General features: G+C 47.4%; 1 protein-coding gene and 1 long non-coding RNA gene across 10 annotated transcripts, besides 1 other annotated feature; one reads left to right on the plus strand and one right to left on the minus strand.

Annotated features, from left to right (window-relative positions):
* Nucleotides 1-15,659: 15,659 nt before the first annotated feature.
* Nucleotides 15,660-20,798, minus strand: LOC124902624 (uncharacterized). 2 transcript variants are annotated; one of them, XR_007062573.1, is made up of 2 exons: nt 20,549-20,798; nt 15,660-15,856 (listed from the first exon to the last, which is right to left on the minus strand). It is a non-coding gene; the product is annotated as an uncharacterized LOC124902624 (long non-coding RNA). The 2 variants fall into 2 exon arrangements; XR_007062572.1 differs by lacking the exon at nt 15,660-15,856 and adding an exon at nt 16,532-18,557.
* Nucleotides 20,633-21,132: a silencer, noted in NCBI's record as "silent region_3099". NCBI's record gives its function as "represses an Ori minimal core promoter by ATAC-STARR-seq in GM12878 lymphoblastoid cells {active_cell/tissue: GM12878}" and the evidence as "EXISTENCE:reporter gene assay evidence [ECO:0000049][PMID:35858748]".
* SMPD1 (sphingomyelin phosphodiesterase 1) lies at nt 20,916-25,438 on the plus strand. 8 transcript variants are annotated; one of them, NR_134502.2, is made up of 6 exons: nt 20,916-21,358; nt 21,826-21,945; nt 23,658-23,829; nt 24,059-24,135; nt 24,338-24,483; nt 24,620-25,438. NR_134502.2 is itself a non-coding variant. In NM_001318088.2 (6 exons), exons 2-6 carry the CDS (start codon nt 22,469-22,471, stop codon nt 25,047-25,049), a joined length of 975 nt encoding a protein of 324 aa, NP_001305017.1. In that variant the 5' UTR covers nt 20,916-21,358; nt 21,826-22,468; the 3' UTR covers nt 25,050-25,438. The 8 variants fall into 8 exon arrangements, 6 of the variants coding, with proteins under 6 accessions (NP_001305017.1, NP_001305016.1, NP_000534.3 ...); NM_001318088.2 differs by having other exon boundaries at nt 21,826-22,638; nt 24,640-25,438; NM_001318087.2 differs by having other exon boundaries at nt 21,826-22,598.

Here is a 25,565-nt window from a genome sequence, read left to right on the forward strand (position 1 = left end):
TGTGCAGTCAGAATTCTTACACAAGGACCAGGACTGTGCCCTGTAGCCTTTTTATCCAAACAACTTGACCTTACTGTTTTGCCTAGCCCTCAAGTCTGCGTGCGGTGGCCACCACCACCCTAATACTTTTAGAGGCCCTTAAAATCACAAACAATGCTCAACTCACTCTCTACAGTTCTCATAACTTCCAAAATCTATTTTTTCCTCACACCTGACACATATACTTTCTGATCCCCAGCTCCTTCAGCTGTACTCACTCTTTGTTGAGTCTCCCACAATTACCATTGTTCCTGGCCCGGACTTCAATCTGGCCTCCCACATTATTCCTGATACCACACCTGACCCTCATGACTGTATCTCTCTGATCCACCTGACATTCACCCCATTTCCTTCTTTCCTGTTTCTCACCCTGAACACACTTGGTTTAGTGATGGCAGTTCCACCAGGCCTAATCGCCACACACCAGCAAAGGCAGGCTATGCTATAGAACAAGCCACCAGCCCGCCTCTTAGAACCTCTCATTTCCTTTCCATCGTGGAAATCTATCCTTAAGGAAATAACTTCTCAGTGCCATCTGCTATTCTACTACTCGTCAGGGATTATTCAGGCCCCCTCCCTTCCCTACACATCACGCTTGAGGATTTGCCCCGCCCAGGACTGGCAAATTGGCTTTACTCAACATGCCCCGAGTCAGGAAATTAAAATACCTCTTGGTCTAGGTAGACACTTTCACTGGATAGGTAGAAGCCTTTCCCACAGGGTCTAGGAAGGCCACCATGGTCATTTCTTCCCTTCTGTCAGACATAATTCCTCAGTTTGACCTTCCCACCTCTATACAGTCCAATAACAGACCGGCCTTTATTAGTCAAAGCACCCAAGCAGTTTCTCAGGCTCTTAGTATTCAGTGAACTAATGGTCTTTTAAAAACTCACCTCACCAAGCTCAGTCACCAACTTAAAAAGGACTGGACAATACTTTTACCACTTGCCCTTCTCAGAATTCAGGCCTGTCCTCGGAATGCTACAAGATACAGCCCATTTGAACTCCTCTATAGACGCTCCTTTTTATTAGGCCCCAGTCTCATTCCAGACACCAGACCAACTTGGACTGCACCCCAAAAAACTTGTCATCCCTACTATCTTCTGTCTAGTCATACTCCTATTTACCGTTCTCAACCACTCATAAATGCCCTGCTCTTGTTTACACCGCCGGTTTACACTGTTTCTCCAAGCCATCACAGCTGATATCTCCTGGTGCTATCCCCAAACCGCCACTCTTAACTCCCTCTTAAAGTAAATAAATAATCTTTGCTGGCAGGGCTATGCTGAAAAGGCACTCTCTAGTTAGATGTTCTAGGTCCTCCCAATTCTTAGTCCTTTAATTCCTGTTTTTCTCCTTGTCTTATTCCGTTTAGTTTTTCAATTCATACAAAACCGTATCCAGGCCATCACCAACAATTCTATACAACAAATGTTTCTTCTAACAACCCCACAATATCACCCCTTACCACAAAATCTTCCTTCAGCTTAATCTCTCCCACTCGAGGTTCCCACGCCACCCCTAATCCCGCTTGAAGCAGCCCTGAGAAATATCGCCCATTCTCTCTCCATACCACCCCCCAAAATTTTCGCTGCCCCAACACTTCAACACTATTATGTTTTATTTTTCTTATTAATATAAGAAGACAGGAATGTCAGGATGCTGAGCCAAAGCTAAGCCATCATATCCCCTGTGACCTGCACGTACGCATCCAGATGGCCAGTTCCTGCCTTAACTGAGGACATATCACCACAAAAGAAGTGAAAATGGCCGGTCCTTGCCTTAACTGACGACATTACCTTGTGAAATTCCTTCTCCTGGGTCATCCTGGCTCAAAAGCTCCCCCACTGAGCACCTTGTGACCCCCACCCCTGCCCACCAGAGAACAACCCCCTTTGACTGTAATTTTCCTTTACCTACCCAAATCCTATAAAACGGCCCCACCCCTATCTCCCTTTGCTGACTCTCTCTTCAGACTCAGCCCGCCTGCACCCAGGTGAAATAAACAGCCTTGTTGCTCACACAAAGCCTGTTTGGTGGTCTTTTCACACGGACGTGAGTGAAACCTCCAACCTAGGGGTGGTAGCAACTTCTTGCTGTTGCTGGTCTCTGGGTCACCTCACTCTTCTGGTTGGAGTCTCTGCCTTTTCAATCACCCTTGTAGCCAGTTGTTTGTATTAAACTTTATCTTATGAAAATGTGCAGTGTGGTTCCTGTTTTCCTAGTAGGACCCTAGTCAACATAGAAGGGAGGTAGCGTGCTATTTTCAAATCTGTGGTCAGAGAAGATCCATTGAGCAGAGACGTAAGTAATGTGAAGGGGCGAGGCAAGGGATAAAGATCTGGGGGGAAGAGGATTCCAAGGAGAGGTAAAAGCCAGTGTGAAGGCCATAAAAGGGAAATGTTTGAGTGCATTCAAACAACAGCAATAAGCATGCATTCCGTTACCAAGGGAGGAACCAGAGAAGCTGGGGTTGGTGGGGTAGGCGGGGCCACCTTTCTGCTCAAGGCCTTCAGATCAGTCCCAGCAATGGCCTTCAAAGCCCTTCATAATTTAGTCTCTCGTTGCCTGTCTGACTTCAGCTCTTACTACTCCTTCCATTCCCCACTCTGCTCCAGCCACTGTCATTTCCTTGTTCTTCCTCAGCACTGCCCAGATGTGTTCCCACCACAGCACCTTGCACATGTTGTTCCTTCTGTCTGGAATATTTTCTCCCAGATATCCACAAAGCTTACTTTCTCATCTCCTTCAAGTCTTTGCTCAAATATAGTCTTTTTTTTTTTTAGATGGAGTCTCACTCTGTCACCTAGGCTGGAGTATAGTGGTGTGATCTCGGCTCACTGCAACCTCCGCCTCCTGGGTTGAAGAAATTCTCTGCCTCAGCCTCCCAAGTAGCTGGGATTACAGGCACCCACCACCTTACCCGGCTAATTTTTTGTATTTTTAGTAGAGAGGGGGTTTCGCCATCTTGGCCAAGCTGGTCTTGAACTCCTGACCTCATGATCCACCGGCATCGGCCTCTCAAAGTGCTGGGATTACAGGTGTGAGCCACCGCACCTGGCCACCCAAATATAGTCTTCTTAGTGAAACATCCCCTAATCACCCTGCTTCAAATTGCACACCCACCCCAGCTCTCCCCAACCCCTTTCATTCTTAATTTTCCTTCATGGCACTATTTGCTTTTTTGTAAACTCTATGACAGCAGGGATTTTTGAATGCTTAGTTTCAAAACATCGATGTATCCCCATCACTAATGTATCCCCCAATACCTGAACAGTGCCTGGCACACTGTAGATCTCTATACTAATTTGTTGAATTAATTAATTTTCATCAGGGGAATGAAACAATCTGATATACAATTTCAAAAGAGAGGAGTGGGCTATGGGAAATCGACTTGGGGGCAATGGTGAAATCAGGGAAAACCAGTTAGGATAACTTGTAGCAATCTAAGATAGAGATGGTAGTAACTTAGGCTAAGACAGTAGCTACAGAGGTGATCAGAGGTAAGACTTAGGTTGGGTTTTAGAGGAGAAATAGACATGACTTGATAATTAATAAAATGTAGAGGTAAAGGGAGATGAAGTGTCAAAGATGACTCCAAGAGCTGGGCACAGTGGTGTATGCCTGTAGTCCTAGCTACACAGGAGGCTGAGGCAGGTGGATCCCTTGTGCCCAGGAGTTTGAGACCAGCCTGGGAAAGACAGCAAGACCCTATCTTTAAAAAAAAAAAAAAAATTGTTTAAAGAAAAAGAATTTAAAAATTTTAAAAAATTGTTTTAATGACTCCAAGTGTCCGGTATGCTGAGGTGCCCATCCCTAGATAGGAAAGACTGGAGCAGTGTCAAAATCAGAATGAAAGATCAAAAGCTCCATTTTGGACATAGTTAAGTTAGAGATGTCTGAGCTCAGAAGCTCATCAACATATTAAAAGTATCTGAGGCTGGGAGTGGCTATGATCATCTGGCCCTAAGGAGACGTAAAGATGCCAGGTTCTGTATTAAGTTGATCAAAAGATCCTCAAATATGCAGCAAATATTCCTTGTCACTTTATGGACAACTGGATTCCTCTTAAGTTTTTTCTCTTGGTCAAAAGTGAATTGCAGCTGGGTGTGGTAGCTCACATCTGTAATCCCAGCACCTTAGGAGGCCAAGGCAGGCAGATCATTTGAACTCAGAAGTTCAAGACCAGCCTGGGCAATGTGGTGAAGCCCTGTTTCTATAAAAAAAAACACAAAAATTATCTGGGCATGGTGGCGCATGCCTGTAATCCCAGCTACATGGGAGGCTGAGGAGGGAGGATGGCTTGAGCCTGGGTGGTAGAGGTTGCAGTGAGCCAAGATGGTGCCACTGCACTCCAGCCTGGGCAACAGAGAGCCAGACCCTGTCTCAAAAAACAATAATAATAATTTAAAATTAAAAAAAAAAGTCAATCCCTGGCCAGGCATGGTGGCTCAAGCCTGTAAACCCAGCACCTTGGGAGGCCAAGGCAGGTGGATCACCTGAGGTTGGGAGTTCGAGACCAGCCTGACCAACATGGAGAAACCCCGTCTCTACTAAAAATACAAAATTAGCCAGGCACAGTGGTGCATGCCTGTAATCCCCAGCTACTCGGGAGGCTGAGGCAGGAGAATCGCTTGAACCCAGGAGGCAGAGGTTGCGGTGAGCCGAGATCCTGCCACTGTACTCCAGCCTGGGCAATTAGAGCATAACTCCATCTCAAAAAAAAAAAAAAAAGTTAATTCCCACATTCCAGTATGGCCGTTAGACCTTTCAAACAGGGCTTCTGCCCAGCCCCACCTCTGAGCGGATCCCTGCTCTGGAGTGACTTCTGCAACATTTTCTAAGTCTCTGATGCTTGGAACCAGCTGGGGCCAGCAGGGCTTCCCAGTGAGACACCTCAAGTCCGAATGAAGATCCATGTGAGCCACAATTTCTATTTCTTTTCTTCAGAAGAAGAAAGCACAGTCAGCCGAACGCTGTGGCTCATGCCTGTAATCCTAGCACTTTGGGAGGCCAAGGTGGGCGAATTGCCTGAGCTTAGGCATTCAAGAACAGCCTGGGCAACATGGCAAAACCCCATCTCTACTAAAAATACAAAAATTAGTAGGACATGGTAGCCCATGCCCATAGTCCCAGCTACTTGGGAGGCTGAGACAAGGGAATCACTTGAACCTGGGAACCTGAGGTTGCAGTGAGCCGAGATCATGCCACCACACTCCAGCCTGGGTGAGAAAGTGAGACCCTGTCTCAATTAAAAAAAAAAAAAAAAGAAGAAGAAGAAGAAGTAGAAGAAGAAAGCACAGGATTTTTCTCTTGGAGCATAGAAGGTCTTTCTAGGTATGACATAACACATAACCCATAAAAGGAAAGGTCAAGATTTTGACAATATAAAATAAAAATTCCACATTACAAAACCCACCATAAGCAAAATGCAAAAGACAGAAAATCAAACTGGAAAAAAATTAACACTCTCATTAGTGACAAATTTATCTTGTTGAAAGAAAAACTTCAGCCAAATTAAATTTAAAAGAGTTTAATTGAGCAATGAACGATTCATGAATCAGGCAGCCCCTAGAATCACAGCAGATTCAGAGAGACTCCAGCGGTTCCTCATGGTCAGAACAGATTTATAAATAAAAAAAGTAAAGTAATATACAAAAACCAGAAGTCGGCTCACGTAGTGAGCTCACTGCCTGTAATCCCAGCACTTTGGGAGGCCAAGGCGGTCGGATCACGAGGTCAGGAGATCGAGACCATCCCGACTAACACGGTGAAACCCCGTCTCTACTAAAAATACAAAAAATTAGCCGGGCATGGTGGCGGGCACCTTTAGTCCCAGCTACTCGGGAGGCTGAGGCAGGAGAATGGCATGAACCTGGGTGGTAGAGTTTGCAGTGAGCCAAGATCGCGCCACTGCACTCCAGCCTGGGGAACAGACTGAGACTCTGTCTCAAAAAAAAAAAAAAAAAAAAAGTGAGGTACAGAAACAGCTGGATGGGTTACAGGTTGGCCTTTGCCTTATTTGAACACAGTTTGAACACTCAGCAGTCTGTGAGTGGTTGAAGTATGGCTGCTGGGATTGGCCAAGACACAGCTATCATTACAGGTGTATAGTCTTAAATTAGGTTTTCAATCTTGTCTGCCTATTAAGCTATGTTACGATTTGTCTACAAGGACTCAAATATAGAAGTATGGAGTCCTTCTCAGGCCATATTTAGTTTGCTTTAACAATCTAAAAGCTAAGACTGAGGTGTCGGAGAAGCCAAGAGAAGAAAGTGTCAAAGATAATGAGAACAATCAAATGCATCCCATTCTGCTGAGAGGTCGAGAAGACAGAGACTGAAAAGGGCCCCTTAGATATGTTTATGTGGAGGTCACGAGGTGCCTTAGCCATTTTAATAGATTCGTGGTGGTCAAAATGCAAGGAAATGGGAATAGCATGTGCAGGACGTTCTTTTGAGATATGTTCTGTTAAACAGAGCAGAGAAACACCGATAGTGAAGGATACTGGGTTAGGTCTAGAAAGAAGCTTGCATTTGTTTTGTGTTGATTTACCTCATTTTGACTTTTAAAGATAGAATCTTGATTGGATTTTCAAATTGAGCAGGAGAGGTTGAAAATGTCAGAAAGAAAGAGTATGGCTAAGACTGTCTTTGTCCTCTAATAGCCATTCTCCCATCTTCTATGGTAGTACAGTCTGTGAATTTCAGCAGAGTAAATGACCTCCTGGAACAAAAATGACATTTCTTCACCTCCCTTGCAGTAGAATAATGTGTTCAAGTTCTAGCCATGGAAATAAGGGTAAAAATGTCTTGTGCAACTTCTAGGAAGTGTCCTTAAAGGGAAGGGCTCTGTTCTTTTTCCTGCTGGCAAGAGTGTAGAGATGATGGCTGGAGCATGAGCCACAAGGTGAAAGCCACATTTTGGGGATGGTGAGCAAGATCAAAGCAGCCTGGTTTCCTGCTCATCATATCGTTGTCATGCAAGTCCTGGATGGGCTATGTCTATGTGAGGGAGGAATAAATGCCGACCTCCTTTAAAGCTGCTGTTATTTTCAGTTTTTTGTCACTGATGACATAACTTAATATTAACTAGGAGAGGGCCAGGTGAGGTGGCTCACGCCTGTAATCTCAGCACTTTGGGAGGCCGAGGCAGGTGGATCACCTGAGGTCAGGAGTTTGAGACCAGTCTGGCCAATATGGTGAAACCCCATCTCTACTAAAAATACAAAAATCAGCCAGGCGTAGTGGTGCGTGCCTGTAGTCCCAGCTACTCAGAAGGCTGAGGCAGGAGAATCGCTTGAGCCTGGGTGGCAGAGGTTGCAGTGAGCCGAGATTATGGCACTGTACTCCAGCCTGGGTGACAGAGCGAAACTCCATCTCAAAAAAAAAAAAAAAAAAAAAAATTAACTAAGAGAAGGGGAATAGCTAATATAATCAGATCCCTGAGAGATAGAACAATATAAAAGTATCAGCCCTTTGTAAGAGGGATGCTTCATCTGCTGGGAACTGGGCTCAACTACTTGCTAGCTGTGTGATCTTAGGCAAGCTATGTAACTTCTCTGCACCTGTATTTCATCATCTGTAAAATATTAGGATATAACAGAGGGGGAAAGGGAGAGGATGGGTACAGATGCAAGCAGGGTTTTAATTTGTTGTAACAAAGACAAGGGAATGTCTCTCTGGATGGCTTCTAAATTATCTGTAAAATAGAAGGCAAAATCAGTAAGAGTGGGTGGTGTGAGGACAGAGGATGCAGAGATATGAAAAGATCTACAAAGCAATGAAAAAGTTAGAAAAAGTAGAAAAAGAGCAAGCTCACTAGAGAAACACGGAAAAATTGCCAGGCAGCACTGAGGGACCATGTGAGTCTGGGGATCATGAATTTATCATTATATCACTTTTTCTTTTTTTCTTTTCTTTTTTTTTTTGAGACGGAGTCGCGCTCTGTCGCCCAGGCTGGAGTGCAGTGGCTCGATCTCGGCTCACTGCAAGCTCCGCCTCCTGAGTTCACGCCATTCTCCTGCCTCAGCCTCCTGAGTAGCTGGGACCACAGGCGCCCACCACCACGCCTGGCTAATATTTTGTATTTTTAGTAGAGATGGGGTTTCGCCGTGTTAGCCAGGATGGTCTCGATCCCCTGACATCGTGATCCACCCGCCTTGGCCTCCCAAAGCGCTGGGATTACAGGCGTGAGCCACCGCGCCCGGCCTTATATCACTTTTTCTAGCTATAGAATTTGCTGTAACAATTTCAGCTACTCTGGTTCAGAAGAAGAAAATGAAAGTAATTGGGATCATTTGAGACTGGAGTTCAGCCAGATGAAAATGACAGAGGAGAGGGGAACACAGGAGCTGAGCATATCTGCAAAGGAATTACTATAATGTTAGATTATAAAGTATTATTTTAAACAGACAGGAAGCCAGGAGCAGGTGGGTAAACAGAGAGAAAAGGAAGATAGACTGGATGCATTGATGAAGTCAGAGAGCTATTGCATTGGGGGTGGTGCCCATCCACCACACCACCCATGCACTCATGTGCACACAAATGTGCATGCACAACCATATATATTGGTTTCCTAGTTCAATTTCTGTTTGGAAGCTGAAAAATATCCTCCCAAGGATTAGCTTCTTCAGAGAATAGAGATGGTAAAGAAAAAAAAATGTAAAACTGTCTAGGTTTCAGGACTAGATTTCACCCTTGTTCAGCCTACCCAAGTACAGGGCTGAGACACTTCCTTCCACATTACACTCCCCTTCCTGTGTGTCAAAGATCTGACTGCTTCAGTGGAGCTTACAAGTATCCTGAGTCGTTTTAAGTGAATGTCCACATGAGACAGTGTGGTTGGAGTGTGGCAATATCTCAGGACACAGAGAGGTGACCTTCATCCTATATAAGATGTAGGTAGCTGCGGATGGAAAGCCTTCTCCCAGGAACGACTGGAAGATCATCTGTCAACACTGGTGACATTGGGTGCTCACGTGACTGTTGACAGGAGGTCTGCAGGGGACAGCTTCTATGTTGCTTCCTCATGCTGGCTGATGGGGTGAGGCAAGTATGTTATTCTTGCCCCTATCCTCTCCTGAGCTGGAGTCTTCTGTAGGGCAGGGCTTTTCCTACTAACAGGTATATCCCCAGCTTCTTGGTCTGGGCCTGACACAGAACAGTGTGTGTGTTGGCGGCGGTGGGTGGGAATAAATGGATGATTTCCTGACAATAGATGGAGCTAAGTTATTGTCATTAAGTAAATACTCCCTACGTCTTCCACAGGGCGGGGTGGCGAAGGGCAGTTTTTAACATTTAACTTTTCCTTCAGCCTCCACCTCACTGTAACCATAGATTTCCTCTCTCCTGTCAATGGACAGTGTGGATAAGGCATGGAAAACTGGGGAGAGTTATCAGCTAGACCTCATTAAATCAATGATAGTCAATACAGATACAGCATCTACTATGTATAAGGTGGTAGATTCTGTATAGTTGGTAATGAAATATAAGATGCAACTTTAAAAGTTTGCATCAGATACTAAAAGTCTTCCTCTGTCACATCTATTAATCTAAGTACTGTCTCATTGTAACTTCACAACCTTATATTATCTATTATCTTCATGTCACACAGAAAGAAATTGAAGCTCAAAAAGTGATGTGCTTTGTCCAGGTCACACAACTAATAAGTGGCAGAACAAAGATTCTAATCCAGATAGCTTGAATTTAAATTGCAGCCCCTACTATTGGGGGTTCTACATACACTGCGTTGGAATTGCCTGTCAAGAAAAATTTCTTCTGGATTTGAGCTCTTAAAGGTATAGATTACTAGCTTTCCAGTAATCCCTAAAATTTCCACAAGAGGGAGACCTTTCCCCATCAGTGCTGGGCTGCTGTCTGGAATTTCGAATTCAATTTGCAGTTTCACAGACAGCTCAAGAATTGGCTGGCCACTTGAACAGAATTTGTATAGGTTTCCTTTTTTTTTATTTTTAATTTTTTTTGAGACAGAGTTTCACTCTTGTTGCCCAGGCTGGAGTGCAATGGTCTGATCTCAGCTTACTGCAACCTCCGCCTCCCAAGTTCAAGCAATTCTCCTGCCTCAGCCTCCGGAGTAGCTGGGATTACAGGCATGCACCACCACGCCCGGCTAATTTTGTATTTTTAGTAGAGACGGGGTTTCTCCATATTGAGGCTGGTCTCGAACTCCTGATCTCAGGTGATCCGCCCACCTAGGCCTCCCAAAGTGCTGGGATTACAGGCGTGAGCCACCGTGCTCAGCTGTTTGTACAGGTTTCCTGACACAACAAAATGTAAGTACCCTAAGCGAATGTCTGCTTAAATTAACCCAGATTAACTAAGAAGTTATCTGTCCCAACCAAGCAGCCCATTTTGTCCCTCTGCCAATCACTCTCCAAGCCAGGGACTCAGTTCGCCACTGAGGCAGAGGCTGTATAACTTTAGATCTTTAAACACCAGCCTTGCTCTCCCTTCCCCAAGTTCTAGTCATTATCCAATAGCCTAGAAGCCTGCACAATAGGTTTCAGAAGTTCTAAAACCCAGAGAAAGTCAAGAATAAGGTTGTCTCACCTTTCCCACTACCAGCCCTGCAGAAAACTTTGTTCATAATGAATTTTCCCACCTCCTAGGCCTCAACCACTATCCAAGGGCTTACAGAGACAGTGTCTGAGCAACAGGTACGGAATCCTATCATGTCGTACCAGGAACCACTTTTCAGCAAAAGAGGTGTAAAGCGGGCACATGACTTTTGTGTCCACTGGTCACATTACAGCCGACCACCCAGAAACTGCCAGCCTAACACAGTGATAGAATCAGCTGTAGATGCACAGCTGAAGCACAAACATGGAAGTAATTCCTAGAGAGGAGGAGGTGCCACCTTCTAGCATGCAGTATACACTTTAAACCAACAACCTGGTGTTCTGTTCCCAAAAGGTAAAACACATGGGTTCAGAACCAAAGAGAGAAAGCAGGCGTGGCTCTGTTCGCCATCACTCCCAGGAATCTACTTGGGAAATTTGTGCTTTCTGCCCCTACAACTCTAGGCTCTGCTGCTTTAGAGGCTCTGATTCCCAATGGGGAAATGTGTCCAGCAGGTGAATGGGTTATGGTTGTTGCCTAGGAACTCTGGGCTCCTGCGTGCAGGGGCCAGCAGGCAAGAAGAGGCATGATCATGGTGGCTGTAGCGTTGATCCTGATTGTCATTGTTGATCCTGATAATACAACTGTTACAAAATGGAGACATGGGGGAATATGCTTGGCATCCAGCTGGCCCACTTGGGTGCCTCTTGGTAGTCCCTGCCCTATTTTGATGGTAAAAAGACAAGTGCAGGAGCATGGCTTGAGGAGAGCATGGATAGTGAGGCTCAGACCCCCCAGGGAGAAAGTTTGCATTACACCATCAGGTAAGCCACTGAAATCAGCAGAGGTGCTCTCTAAGGGTGAAGGAAAGCTAAAATGGATAAAAGAGGAAAATGATGAGTATCAGTTGCTGTCCTGAGAGAGGCTTCAGAGAGCTATAATTCTTTCCACTATCTTTCTTCTAATTTCCACCATGAAGAGAGACTCATTAGTCATTAGTATGCTAGAGGAGCTGTTCCAGACTTCTGTGAAATGAATCCAAGTGGCACAAGAGGTAGTCTGTGGTGGACACTGTGATGTGCCACCTGACCTGCCTTCAGGAACAAAGGGCTTATTCCCCCATGTAGACCAAAAATAAAATTCTAAGCTCCCCCAACCAACTGACAGAGTCCCCTCTCTCCCAAAGACATTCCAAACTAAACCAGAAAATCTAGTTCAGGCCATGATTGAAAGTGGGGATTGGACATGCCTCATCATACTCTTCTCTCTCAGAATTGGGAACAAGTGACGAGCATTAACATTTAAAAAGATCTGGCCGGGTGCAGTGGCTCACGCCTGTAATCCCAGCACTTTGGGAGGCCGAGGCAGGTGGATCATGAGGTCAGGAGTTCAAGACTAGCCTGGCCAACATGGTTAAACCCCGTCTCTACTAAAAATACAAAAATTAGCTGGGCGTGGGGGCAGGTGCCTGCAATCCCAGCTATTTGGGAGGCTGAGGCAGAGAATTGCTTGAACCTGGGAGGCGAAGGTTGCAGTGAGCCGAGATCGCACCACTGCACTCCAGCCTGGGCGAGAGAGCAAGACTCCGTCTCAAAAAATAAAAAATAAAATCATAAATAATAAATAAATAAAAGATCTTAATGGGGAAAACCTACATTCTGTAGACAATCCCTTTTTTTCTCCAGGTCTCTCCTCTGATCCAGGAGAAAATTAAGAGTCTGGCACCTGTTTAGGTCTGATAAGCGCTCTGATGCCTGATACATGGAGGTTTCATCTGCATGATAAAATCTTGGTCTCCGGGTCAGGCTTGGTGGCTCACGCCTGTAATCCCAGCACTTTGGGAGGCCAAGGCGGGTGGATCACCTGAGGTCGGGGGTTTGAGACCGGCCTGGCCAACATGGCAAAATCCCATCTCTACTAAAAATACAAAAATTAGCCACGCATGGTGGCAGGCACCTGTAATCCCAGCTACAAGAGAATCACTTGAACCCAGGAGGCGGAAGTTGCAGAATCACTTGAACCCGGGAGGCAGAGGTTGCAGTGAGCCAAGATCGTGCCACTGCACTCCACCCTGGGTGACAGAGCAAGACTCTGTCTCAAAAAACAAAACAGAACAAAAACAAACTAACAAACAAAAATCTTGGTCTCACAACACCTCCTTATCTTAACCTAGACATTCTTTTTTTTTTTTTTTTTTTGAGACAGAGTTTCGCTTTTGCCGCCCAGGCTGGAGTGCAATGGACCCATCTTGGCTCACTGCAACCTCCACCTCCCGGGTTCAAGCGATTCTCCTGCCTCAGCCTCCCGAGTAGCTGGGATTACAGGCACCTGCCACCATGCCTGGCTAATTTTTTGTATTTTTAGTAGAGATGGGGTTTCACCATGTTGGCCAGGCCAGTCTCGAACTCTTGACCTCAGGTGATCCACCTGCCTCGGCCTCCCAAAGTGCTGGGATTACAGGCTTGAGCCACCACGCCCTGCCGACATTCCTTTCTATTGATTCCAGCTCTTTAGATAATAACTCTTTTCAACCAATTGCCAATCAGAAAATCTTTGAATCTATGACCTGGAGGCTCCTCTCCCCGACCCCCCACCCCAGCCTCCACTGCTTCCAGTTGTCTTGCCTTGCTGGACCAAACCAATGTACATTTTACATGTATTGATTGGCCTCTTATGTCTCCCTAAAAGATGTAAAACCAAGCTGTAACCTGACCACCTTGGGCACATGCTCTGCGTGTGCTCTCAGGGTCTCCTGGGGCTGTATCACAGGCCATTGGTCGCTCCTTTTGGGCTCAGAATAAATCTCTTCAAATATTTAACAAAGTTTGACTCTTTTCATCAATACCTAGCTGCGAAACCACCTTTTCAAAAATTATAACAGGAAATTATGACAGCAAAAGAGATCTGACCTAACTGAGTTCACCTTACTTCTAACCTCCAAGCTGTCCATGTTCATTCCTGGGCGTAAACCGAACTAACCTTGGGAAGGAATTTAGTTTACAGCTTAATTTTTTTTTTTTAAACAGAGTTTTGCCCAGGCTGGAGTGCAATGGCATGATCTTGGCTCACTGCAACCTCCGCCTCCTGGGTTCAAGTGATTCTCCTGCCTCAGCCTCCCGAGTAGCTGGGATTACAGGCACCTGCCACCACGCCCAGCTAATTTTTGTATTTTTAGTAGAGATGGGGATTCACCATGTTGGCCAGGCTAGTCTCGAACTCCTGACTTCAGGTGATCCAACCGCCTCCGCCTCCCCTATAGTGCTGGGATTATAGGCATGAGCCACCGCACGAGGCTTTATAGCTTAACTTTTAAACAAAGATGATAATAGCCCTTTCCTGAAATAAGGCCCCTTCTTGCCTGAACCAAACTGCCTTTGTAGAACTAACAAATTAGCTACAAGATTAGAAATTACAGTTTAGGAGCCATGCAGCATTCAGCTGCAAGAGTCTGACCCTCCCCACCTTGCTCCTAGAAATAATATCACTGTTGTAAAACCTAAGATTAGTGCTTGAGATATTTTCCAGATCCTGCATTCTGATGCACCAGCTGATACCACCCAGGCCAGTAACCTGGCTCAACCAATTCTGCAATCCCAACTAGGAACAGAAGACAGCAAGAAAAACTCACTTTGACGCCCTATGATTTCATCTCCAACCTGACCAATCAGCACTTCCCACTTCATGAGCCCCTACCCACCAAATTATCCTAAAAAACTCCGATCCCCGAGTTTTTGGGGAGACTGATTTGAGTAACAATAAAACTCCAGTTCCCGGTACAGCCAGCTCTGCATGAATTACTCTCTCTATTGCAATTCTTATCTTGATAGGTTGGCTGTCTTGGCAGCAAGCAAGGAGAACCTGTTGGACAATTATAGCTGCTCAGAATGGTCTCAACAGAAAGTCCTCAGCCCCCTACAGGGATTTTCCTAAATGAAACAAGCTCTCTCATCCCATTTCAGGACAACTCTGAAGGGTCATCCCAGCTTCAGCGCTCCTATGGGGTCCAACGAGACCTCTGACGGCATCACAGATCAACTTGCTCATTTACCCAAGTCTGCTTTCTTCCCTTTCCTTTCACAGGTGTTCATTTAAAAAGCACTTTCTAATACATTTCTCTCTCATTAGTCTCTGTCTTAGAACCTGATTCCTAGAGAACAGTGTCATTAATTTTGAGGGAAGACGGGCTTTTGATCACCTATCCAGAAGGATAAGGGTGTGTGATATGGCAGCAAGTGATGGTTCTATCAAAAACAACATGTATGAAAACACTGCATAAAAGAGGACTCAGCGGGTCGGGCACGGTGGCTCATGCCTGTAATCCCAGCACTTTGGGAGGCCGAGGTGGGCAGATCACGAGGTCAGGAGATCAAGACCATCCTGGCTAACATGGTGAAACCCCATCTCTACTAAAAATACAAAAAATTAGCTGGACGTGGTGGCGGGCGCCTGTAGTCCCAGCTACTCGGGAGGCTGAGGCAGGAGAATGGCGTGAACCAAGGAGACGGAGGTTGCAGTGAGCCGAGATCGTGCCACTGCACTCCAGACTGGGCGACAGAGCGAGACTCTATCTCAAAAAAAAAAAAAAAAAAAAAAAAAAGAGGACTCAGCAAATGAGAAAAGAGGATGTGATCAGGAAAGATGTTGTTACTGGGTATGTGCTAAGGCCTTGAAGATCAATAAATTTGGACCCTGGGGTCATCAGTGTCCTCCATAAGGAAGGACAGAGTGAATCTCTGTCCTGAATCTACTGTCCTGAATGGACAGTAACAATTACGGAGAAATGAGGCAACTTGAAATCCCTGATAGGGAAATGGGAGATGACGTTTCATAGCAAATTTACCAGGCTCTTTCATGCCTTGTACTTTGTTCATGACATCCCTCCTCCCTCCTTTTCCTACTGCCAAAATTTGAATCCTTGAAGATTACAGATCCAAGCCTACAGTTACGAAAAAGAAGTAGCTATAAGGAAGGAAAAGCCTTTTCCTCTATCCTCTTAAGTTCAGTGGCTGAGGCCTGTAAATTAAACTGGCAAAAGACAAATTAACAGGAGAAAAGGGTTTATTCATATGCACAGGGAACCACAAAAGAAGTAGCTGGCTCATCAAATGGTTGAAATTAGCCAGGCGTAGTGGCTCACGCCTGTAATCCCAGCTACTCGGAAGGCTGAGGCAGGAGAATCGCTTCAACCCAGGAGGCAGAGGTTGCGGTGAGCTGAGATCACGCCATTGCCCTCCAACCTGAACAAGAGTGAAACTCTGTCTCAAAAAAAAGGAAGGAAGGAAGGAAGGAAGGAAGGAAGGAAGGAAGGAAGGAAGGAAGGAAGGAAGGAAAAGGCTTACACATCTAACTTAGTAGGAGAAAGGGAAAGGGGAGAAAGTTCCAGGGGAGAAAGAGGTTTCTTAAGGAAAGACAAAAGGGTTTTCAAAAGAACAAACATGAGGCCAGAAAGTGTGTGATGCTGTGGTCTATGCCAGCATGTGTGGTCTTCCTGTCTTCTTCAGAGCCATTAAACTTCCCTGAAAAGGGTATTTATGTTGAGTTTACTCTTGGTCTCCCTCCTCAGAGTGGAAGCCTTGCTGAAGAGGGTATGTATGGCAGTCTTCATTTCTGATAAAAGAAAAATAGCTCAGAGCACTCTGAACTATGTGAGGTACGCAAAATGTATCAGGCCCAGAGAGACATGAGTATGGGACTTCAGTCATACACTCCACCCCTCACCCCCACCCTTGCTCCCACAAAACCAAGAAGTGGGGTGCAATTGTTTGTTCCTAGTCAGACATGCCTCACCCTTTATCTTCACATTCCTGGGATTTATGATACAAAGAACAAGGCATAGCCAATCAATAGCTTATGTTATTTTTATGTAAATTCTTGGTGAACAACTTAGTGTCTATGAAAAGAGTGAAACTCTGTAAAATATTTGAAGAGATTTATTTTGAGCCAAACGAGTGACCATGGCCCGTGACACAGCCCTCAGGAGGTCCTGAGAACATGTGCCCAAGGTGGTCAGGGTGCAGCTTGGTTTTATACATTTTAGGGATGTATGAGACATCAATCAAATAAATTTGAGAAATACATTGGTTTGGTCAAGAAAGGTGGGACAATCTGAAGCTGGGGGATGGGGAGCTTCCAGGCTATAGGGAAATTTAAACATTTTCTGGTTGACAATTGGTTGAGTTTGTCTAAAGACCTGGGATCAATAGAAAGGAAATGTTCAGGTTAAGATAAAAGATTGTGGAGGCCGGGCACAGTGGCTCACACCTGTAATCCCAGCACTTTGGGAGGCTAAGGCAGGCGGATCACGAGGTCAAGAGATGGAGACCATCCTGGCCAACATCGTGAAGCCCCATCTCTATTAAAAATATGAAAATTAGCTGGGTGTGGTGGCAGATGCCTGTAGTCCCAGCTGCTCGGGGGGCTGGGGTAGGAGAATTGCTTGAACCCGGGAGGCGGAGGTTGCAGTGAGCCGAGATTACACTGTTGCACTCCAGCCTGGGCGACAGAGTGAGACGCCATTTTTAAAAAAAAAAAAAAGATTGTGGAGACCAAGGTTCTTTGAAGTCTCTTAGTGGCTGCCCTTAGAGACAACAGTCGACAAATGTTTCCTATTCAGACCTTTAAAAGGTGCTAGACTCTCAGTTAATCTCTTCAGGATTGGAGGGCCCAGAAGAAAAAGATCTGTGTTATTAGAGATTCTTTACAGATGTAAATTTTCCCCCATAAGGTACGACTTTGCAGGGCCATTTCAAAATATGGCAAAGTGGCCGGGTGCGGTGGCTTACTCCTGTAATCCCAGTACTTTGGGAGGCCAAGGCAGGCGGATCACCTGAGGTCAGAAGTTCGAGACCAGCCTGGCCAGCATGGCAAAACCCCATCTTTATTAACAATACAAAAATTAGCTGGGCATGGTGGTGGTGGGTGCCTGTAATCCCAGCTACTCGGGAGGCTGAGGCAGGAGAATCCCTTGAATCTGGGTGGGGGAGGTTGCAGTAAGCCAAGATCACCCCATTGCACTCCAGCCCGGGCAATAAGAGTGAAACTCTGTCCCGCCCCCCACCCCAAACCAAAAAACATATATATATATATATATATATATATATATATATATATATATATGGCAAAGAAACATGTTTTGGGGTAAAATATTTTGACTTTCTTCTTTATCACGTAATTTTATGCCAGAGTATGACTGAAAAGGCAGTCACAATATATAGTGTTAAATAAAACCCAACTGATAAGAATTTATGGTTTGTAGGGCATGACTCCCCAGACCCTTTCGATAGGAATTTGAGCAAGATAAGAAAAAATCAGAGCTTAGTCCTCATTAGGAACTGCCTCTTCTTCTCCTTTAAAAACCCACTTGTGACTTCTGCTAATTGGGAGCATATACTCAGGGCAACTTGAATCTTCGCTTCACAGTCTTCAAACTTGGCCCAAATAAACTCTCTACTTATATCAAGTTTGCCTTAGATTTTTCCCTTTAGGTTGACATTTCCCAGAAGTTTTAATCAGATGAAGAAAGCTCCCAGAAGGTTTATTTCTGCATCTATTGAATCTGAAATGTCTTCGGCTTAAAATAATTGTTATACCAACTCTGGTGTTCTGAATGGGTCCCCACACAGCAAAGAATAGAGCCAGAATGTTGCATTTGTGAAAGGAAAATAAAAACTCAGGACTCCAGTTGACTATGCCAAAAGGAAAAAAAATAAACTGAAAACTGAGTCATGCAAGAAGCTGCCTTTCCTTTTGTTCCTAAGCAGATAGCTACAGACAAAAGGTTAAATATTTACAAAATTAGCCGGGTGTGGTGGCACATGCCTGTAATCCCAGCTACTCAGTAGGCTGAGGCAGGAGAATCACTTGAACCCGGGAGGCAGAGGTTGTGGTGAGCCGAGATTGCGCCATTGCACTCCAGCCTGGTCAACAACAGCGAAAACTCTGTCTCAAAAAAAAAAAAACAAAAAAAACACAAAAGGTTAAATATCTCCACAGGCATATTTACTTTATCTTATGTAAAGTGCCAGACGAACACATAATTGAGTATCTCCCTACCTGCTCCTTTTCTCTTGCGACATGTGGATTACCATACCCTTCTTCTTTCCCTCCAGCTCACTTTTCCCCTTTAAATATTGAAGCCCTCAAAATCATCTTTGGAGAAAGCCACAGACCACAGACTGTTTCTGCGATTCCGTGTTTATTTCTTCCAGCCATGTCCTTAACCTTGGCAAAATAAACCTCTAAATTGATTGAGACCTGTCTCAGACATGTTTTGCTTGACACATCCAAATTCCAGTTCCAGCACTTACTAGCTAGCTGTGGGATCTTGAGCCACTTACTTAATCCTACTTTCCTTCTCCGTAAAATGGGGATAATTATAATACCGACTTCCAAATTTGTTGTGAGGATTAACGTAAGGCAGAGTCCTCAGAAAAGTACCTACAGAGGGTTATTCGGGCCAAGGGCCAAGGTTGAGGACTGCGACCCAGGACACACTTGCAAGTTGTCTTGGGGGAGCACTCTGGACAACAAAAGAGAGGCTCATATTTTCAAAGAAAAAAAGATGAATTAGGAGAGGAAATGAATACAAAAGTTGTTCATCAGGAATTCTCATTGTTTACAGAAATAACACTGGTTATACATTGTTTAGCGCTTGGCTATACATTGTTGAACTATAAGGTGTATGGCATTTAATGGCTACTTGGCATAGCAAGTGGTTTCAAGAGATAATTACTTAGCTCAAAGAAGAGTGAGAGTGACTGTTGCTACATTTTAAATGCCTGTCTGGGCCTGATAATTTAAAGGGGCTCATCTTCCTTAGATAAAAAGGTTTTGTTTTGTTTTGTTTTTCATAGTACATAATCTTAAAAATGCATGCTAATTATTACTGTGAGTACTCTATCTGAGATGATGTCCCCAGAACTGGGGGGAAAAAACACTTGTAAAAAATTATCAAAGGAAAGAACTGACAGGACTTGATAGCTCTGAGGATTCCTCAGAAGCACTCGTCAAACAGCTTAGGGTTTAATTGCTATTCTGCCACTTAACTTCTTTGTGCCTCATCCTATCTGTAAAGGAGGGTAATAATAGTATTTGCAGGGACCAAGGGAAACTTTCCCTTCGCCCTCTGAAATTCTGCTGAAAAATCAACCCACAAAAAACAGATTAATTGAAGAAAAGGCATAGAAATTGTATTAATGTGTCCACGGGGAACCACAGAGTGACTACCCACTTCCCAGACGAGTTCAGAAGCTTAGGTGTCATTCAGGCAAAGGGGGTTGTGGGAGTGAGGGGAAGAGGAATTCTGCTGAGGGAGAAGGAATGGATCAGGGAACAGATTAACTAGCACATTATCATGTGAAGGGGTCTGTTCAGGTGTGATTATATTCTTGGTTTTGTAGGGAGGGGAAGAAAAAAACCGTTGTTCCTTTTGATGGGTCTGGACGCTAGGTAACGGCTTTGGGAGAGAGGGCGCGGGAGTAGGAAGGCCAGACACACCTTAAGGCTTAACTTAGTAAGTCAAACCACCATATTTTGGGTATGGATTTCTGAGCCCCAATATAATAGGTACTTCTTAGGGTTGTTGTGAGAATTGAAGATTATTAATTATAAAGTGCCTGGGTTGGTGCTTGGCACATCATAAACAACTCCATAAATGCTCGCTTTTACTGTCGTGGATACACGGAGGTGGGAGACCCAATTGGGTTCCCGCCCATGTTATTGGCCCCCACGGCTATATGGTCTTTACGGCTTCCTAGTCTCTTCACCATCTCTAAGGTTTGTTTCCTCATCTGAATCACAGGTGAGTGATTCTCAGGGTGACTCAAGAGGGCTGGTGCCAGTGGCAGAGCATGGGGAATCGAGGGAAGGCGCCTTCCTGTCAGAGGCAACACACCCAGTGGGAGGATCCTGCCCGCCCTGCTCTCTCCTACCTCCCCTTCCCGGGCTAAACGCTGGGGTCGGTCTGGCAGCTATTCCGGGAATCTGAGCGCGGATTCTGACAAAGGAGACGTCTTCCACCGACCACATCACATGGAGCTCCAAAGCACGAGCACGGCCTCCCGCGGCTGTGACCTCAAGGCGGAGCCCCTGGTGACCTCAGGGAGAGTCCCCACCCCCGCAGCCCGTGCGCCCGGGGCAGGGCGGGGGCAGGGAGAGGGGGCGGAATCGGGGCGGTCCCGGGAGCGCCCCGCCCCCTCCGCCTCCGCAGCGTTGACAGCCGCCCGCCACCGAGAGATCAGCTGTCAGAGATCAGAGGAAGAGGAAGGGGCGGAGCTGCTTTGCGGCCGGCCGCGGAGCAGTCAGCCGACTACAGAGAAGGGTAATCGGGTGTCCCCGGCGCCGCCCGGGGCCCTGAGGGCTGGCTAGGGTCCAGGCCGGGGGGGACGGGACAGACGAACCAGCCCCGTGTAGGAAGCGCGACAATGCCCCGCTACGGAGCGTCACTCCGCCAGAGCTGCCCCAGGTCCGGCCGGGAGCAGGGACAAGACGGGACCGCCGGAGCCCCCGGACTCCTTTGGATGGGCCTGGTGCTGGCGCTGGCGCTGGCGCTGGCGCTGGCGCTGGCTCTGTCTGACTCTCGGGTTCTCTGGGCTCCGGCAGAGGCTCACCCTCTTTCTCCCCAAGGCCATCCTGCCAGGTTACATCGCATAGTGCCCCGGCTCCGAGATGTCTTTGGGTGGGGGAACCTCACCTGCCCAATCTGCAAAGGTCTATTCACCGCCATCAACCTCGGGCTGAAGGTGAGCACTGAAGGGGCTGCAGTGGAGGAGGCCGAAAGGAGTGCTGGGGCTGGGGGCTGGGGCTGATGCTGGTGCGCTGGGCTCAGAATGCATCCCTGATGGAGAGGGTGGCATCTACAATCCATCACTGAGTTTGCTCCCCTTTGGGGACACCCATGGCTACATGCCACCATCACCCCATTGTGACCTTTGTGAAGTAAGAAAATAATGCAGACAGTGCCTGAGGAAGTCAGCTTGCCAAGCAAAGGCCTCATGCCACAGGCCGCTGAGCTAAAGAAGAAGCGATGGCCTGGTGCTGCCTGAGTTACAGGGCAATATCTGGAAGGCAAAGGTGTGCACTGAGCTTGGTGCACTGAGTCCTGCCCAGCCCCAGTTTGGAAATGGAGGCCCAAGGGGTGGTGGCCAGGGGTTGGCCTGGTTCCTCTGCTCTGCCTCTGATTTCTCACCATGCGCTCCTCCCACTGCAGAAGGAACCCAATGTGGCTCGCGTGGGCTCCGTGGCCATCAAGCTGTGCAATCTGCTGAAGATAGCACCACCTGCCGTGTGCCAATCCATTGTCCACCTCTTTGAGGATGACATGGTGGAGGTGTGGAGACGCTCAGTGCTGAGCCCATCTGAGGCCTGTGGCCTGCTCCTGGGCTCCACCTGTGGGCACTGGGACATTTTCTCATCTTGGAACATCTCTTTGCCTACTGTGCCGAAGCCGCCCCCCAAACCCCCTAGCCCCCCAGCCCCAGGTGCCCCTGTCAGCCGCATCCTCTTCCTCACTGACCTGCACTGGGATCATGACTACCTGGAGGGCACGGACCCTGACTGTGCAGACCCACTGTGCTGCCGCCGGGGTTCTGGCCTGCCGCCCGCATCCCGGCCAGGTGCCGGATACTGGGGCGAATACAGCAAGTGTGACCTGCCCCTGAGGACCCTGGAGAGCCTGTTGAGTGGGCTGGGCCCAGCCGGCCCTTTTGATATGGTGTACTGGACAGGAGACATCCCCGCACATGATGTCTGGCACCAGACTCGTCAGGACCAACTGCGGGCCCTGACCACCGTCACAGCACTTGTGAGGAAGTTCCTGGGGCCAGTGCCAGTGTACCCTGCTGTGGGTAACCATGAAAGCACACCTGTCAATAGCTTCCCTCCCCCCTTCATTGAGGGCAACCACTCCTCCCGCTGGCTCTATGAAGCGATGGCCAAGGCTTGGGAGCCCTGGCTGCCTGCCGAAGCCCTGCGCACCCTCAGGTACTTATCGTCCGTGGAAACCCAGGAAGGGAAAAGAAAGGTGAATGAAAGTGAAGGGAGAAGGGAACCTGGGGCATTGTCTCTGATTGCTCTAGCATGAGTCCTTAGTGCTCTTCATTTGGCTCCCCTAATCTGACTCCTCCTTCCCTTTCTACTGTTTTGCCGCACCAGGCTTTTTTTTTTTTTTTTTTTTTAGTTTAGTTTTTGTAGAGACAAGATCTTGCTATGTTGCCCAGGCTGGTCTCAAACACCTAACCTCAAGCAATCCTCCCGCCTCGGCCTCCCAAAATGCTGGGACCACAGGCATCAGCTACTGCTCCTGGCCCTCCCTTTTTTTTTTTTTTTTTTTTTTTTTTTTTGAGATGGAATCTTGCTCTGTTGCCCAGGCTGGAGTGCAGTGGCACCATCTCAGCTCACTACAGCCTCCACCTCCTGGGTTCAAGCAATTCTGCCTCAGCCTCCCAAGTACCTGGGACTACAGGTGCACGCCACCACACCCAGCTAATTTTTGTATTTTTAGTAGAGATGGGGTTTCACCATGTTGGCCAAGATGGTCTTGATCTCCTGACCTCATGATCTGCCCACCTCGGCCTCCCAAAGTGCTGGGATTACAGGCATGAACCACTGCACCCAGCTTTCCAGCCCTCCCTTTCTACTCTTATCTCCAGCCACCCTCCTTCAAAGGTCTGGCAGCATAACCTCTCTATGCCCCAGCTGTGTCTTTGCTCATGTTGGCCCTCTGGAAATGATTTCCCCCTTTTTTTTAAGTGCTCCAGTTTTTCCCACCTTATCCATCCCATGTCATCTTCCCTCTGTGTGGTCCTTGCTTCCCATTCTAGCTAACTCTTATCCCTCCCCCATACTCCTGGAGCCCTCTGCCCTCAGAGTCTTTTGTGTCACACAGACCCAATAATTAGAACTGTTTGGTCTCTGGCTAGACTGTGAGCTCCTTGCAGGTGGGGAAGATGTCATGTATGCTTTTACCCTCCACCCAAATGCCCAGCACAGGAGGACCAGGATTGGAACAAGTGTTGACCTCTCATGTTTACTTTGTTTCAGAATTGGGGGGTTCTATGCTCTTTCCCCATACCCCGGTCTCCGCCTCATCTCTCTCAATATGAATTTTTGTTCCCGTGAGAACTTCTGGCTCTTGATCAACTCCACGGATCCCGCAGGACAGCTCCAGTGGCTGGTGGGGGAGCTTCAGGCTGCTGAGGATCGAGGAGACAAAGTGAGGGCCAGTAGTGGGAACACGGTGGTGCTGGGGGACAAGCAGGCTCCTGTTGAGCTGGAGCACCTCTGGGCACAGAAGTTTTATTTTCCTGGCATTCCCAACAAGTGTTCCCTGGGGATTCAGCTCATGGTCACTGTTGAAAGCCTTCATTCAGTCCCCCTTTCTCTAGCCAGGGCTGCCTGGACCCCTGGATGCCCTGATTACCATCCTTAATTCTCCCTACTAGGTGCATATAATTGGCCACATTCCCCCAGGGCACTGTCTGAAGAGCTGGAGCTGGAATTATTACCGAATTGTAGCCAGGTAGGACGGAGATGAGGGTGGGAATAGGGACAGGGTGAGTGTCTGAAGGCTGAAAATTCCCTTGAGCATCTCACCATCCCTGTTGTCCCATGGAGTGGGGAGGCTCCTCACTAGAACAGGTTGGAGAAAGAGGGCATCCTATCTCCCCAGATGTCTTCCTACCCCTCCCTAGAATCTTCTGAATGTAGTACCTTCTGGCCAGGTATGAGAACACCCTGGCTGCTCAGTTCTTTGGCCACACTCATGTGGATGAATTTGAGGTCTTCTATGATGAAGAGACTCTGAGCCGGCCGCTGGCTGTAGCCTTCCTGGCACCCAGTGCAACTACCTACATCGGCCTTAATCCTGGTGAGTGAGGCAGAAGGGAGCCTCCCTTATCCTGGAGTTGGTGGGATAGGGGAAGGAGGTTGGAGCCAGAGCCTGCAAAGCATGGGCAGGATGTGTGGCCCCTCCCTGGAGTTACCCTTGCTCCTTGCCCCTCCAGTCAGCCCCACATCCTTGCAGGTTACCGTGTGTACCAAATAGATGGAAACTACTCCGGGAGCTCTCACGTGGTCCTGGACCATGAGACCTACATCCTGAATCTGACCCAGGCAAACATACCGGGAGCCATACCGCACTGGCAGCTTCTCTACAGGGCTCGAGAAACCTATGGGCTGCCCAACACACTGCCTACCGCCTGGCACAACCTGGTATATCGCATGCGGGGCGACATGCAACTTTTCCAGACCTTCTGGTTTCTCTACCATAAGGGCCACCCACCCTCGGAGCCCTGTGGCACGCCCTGCCGTCTGGCTACTCTTTGTGCCCAGCTCTCTGCCCGTGCTGACAGCCCTGCTCTGTGCCGCCACCTGATGCCAGATGGGAGCCTCCCAGAGGCCCAGAGCCTGTGGCCAAGGCCACTGTTTTGCTAGGGCCCCAGGGCCCACATTTGGGAAAGTTCTTGATGTAGGAAAGGGTGAAAAAGCCCAAATGCTGCTGTGGTTCAACCAGGCAAGATCATCCGGTGAAAGAACCAGTCCCTGGGCCCCAAGGATGCCGGGGAAACAGGACCTTCTCCTTTCCTGGAGCTGGTTTAGCTGGATATGGGAGGGGGTTTGGCTGCCTGTGCCCAGGAGCTAGACTGCCTTGAGGCTGCTGTCCTTTCACAGCCATGGAGTAGAGGCCTAAGTTGACACTGCCCTGGGCAGACAAGACAGGAGCTGTCGCCCCAGGCCTGTGCTGCCCAGCCAGGAACCCTGTACTGCTGCTGCGACCTGATGCTGCCAGTCTGTTAAAATAAAGATAAGAGACTTGGACTCCAGACCCCTGTGTGACTGTCCCAATTTCTTCTTTCCAGGCAAGCAGGGCAAGGAGATCTTTGGAGCAAGATCATAACTGAGGCACAGGCTAATGGGTTGATGGTGTGGTACAGGCATAAGAAGGCACAC

The sequence above is a fragment of the Homo sapiens genome, chromosome 11 (genome assembly GCF_000001405.40).
Source record: "Homo sapiens chromosome 11, GRCh38.p14 Primary Assembly".
Lineage (NCBI taxonomy): Eukaryota > Metazoa > Chordata > Mammalia > Primates > Hominidae > Homo > Homo sapiens.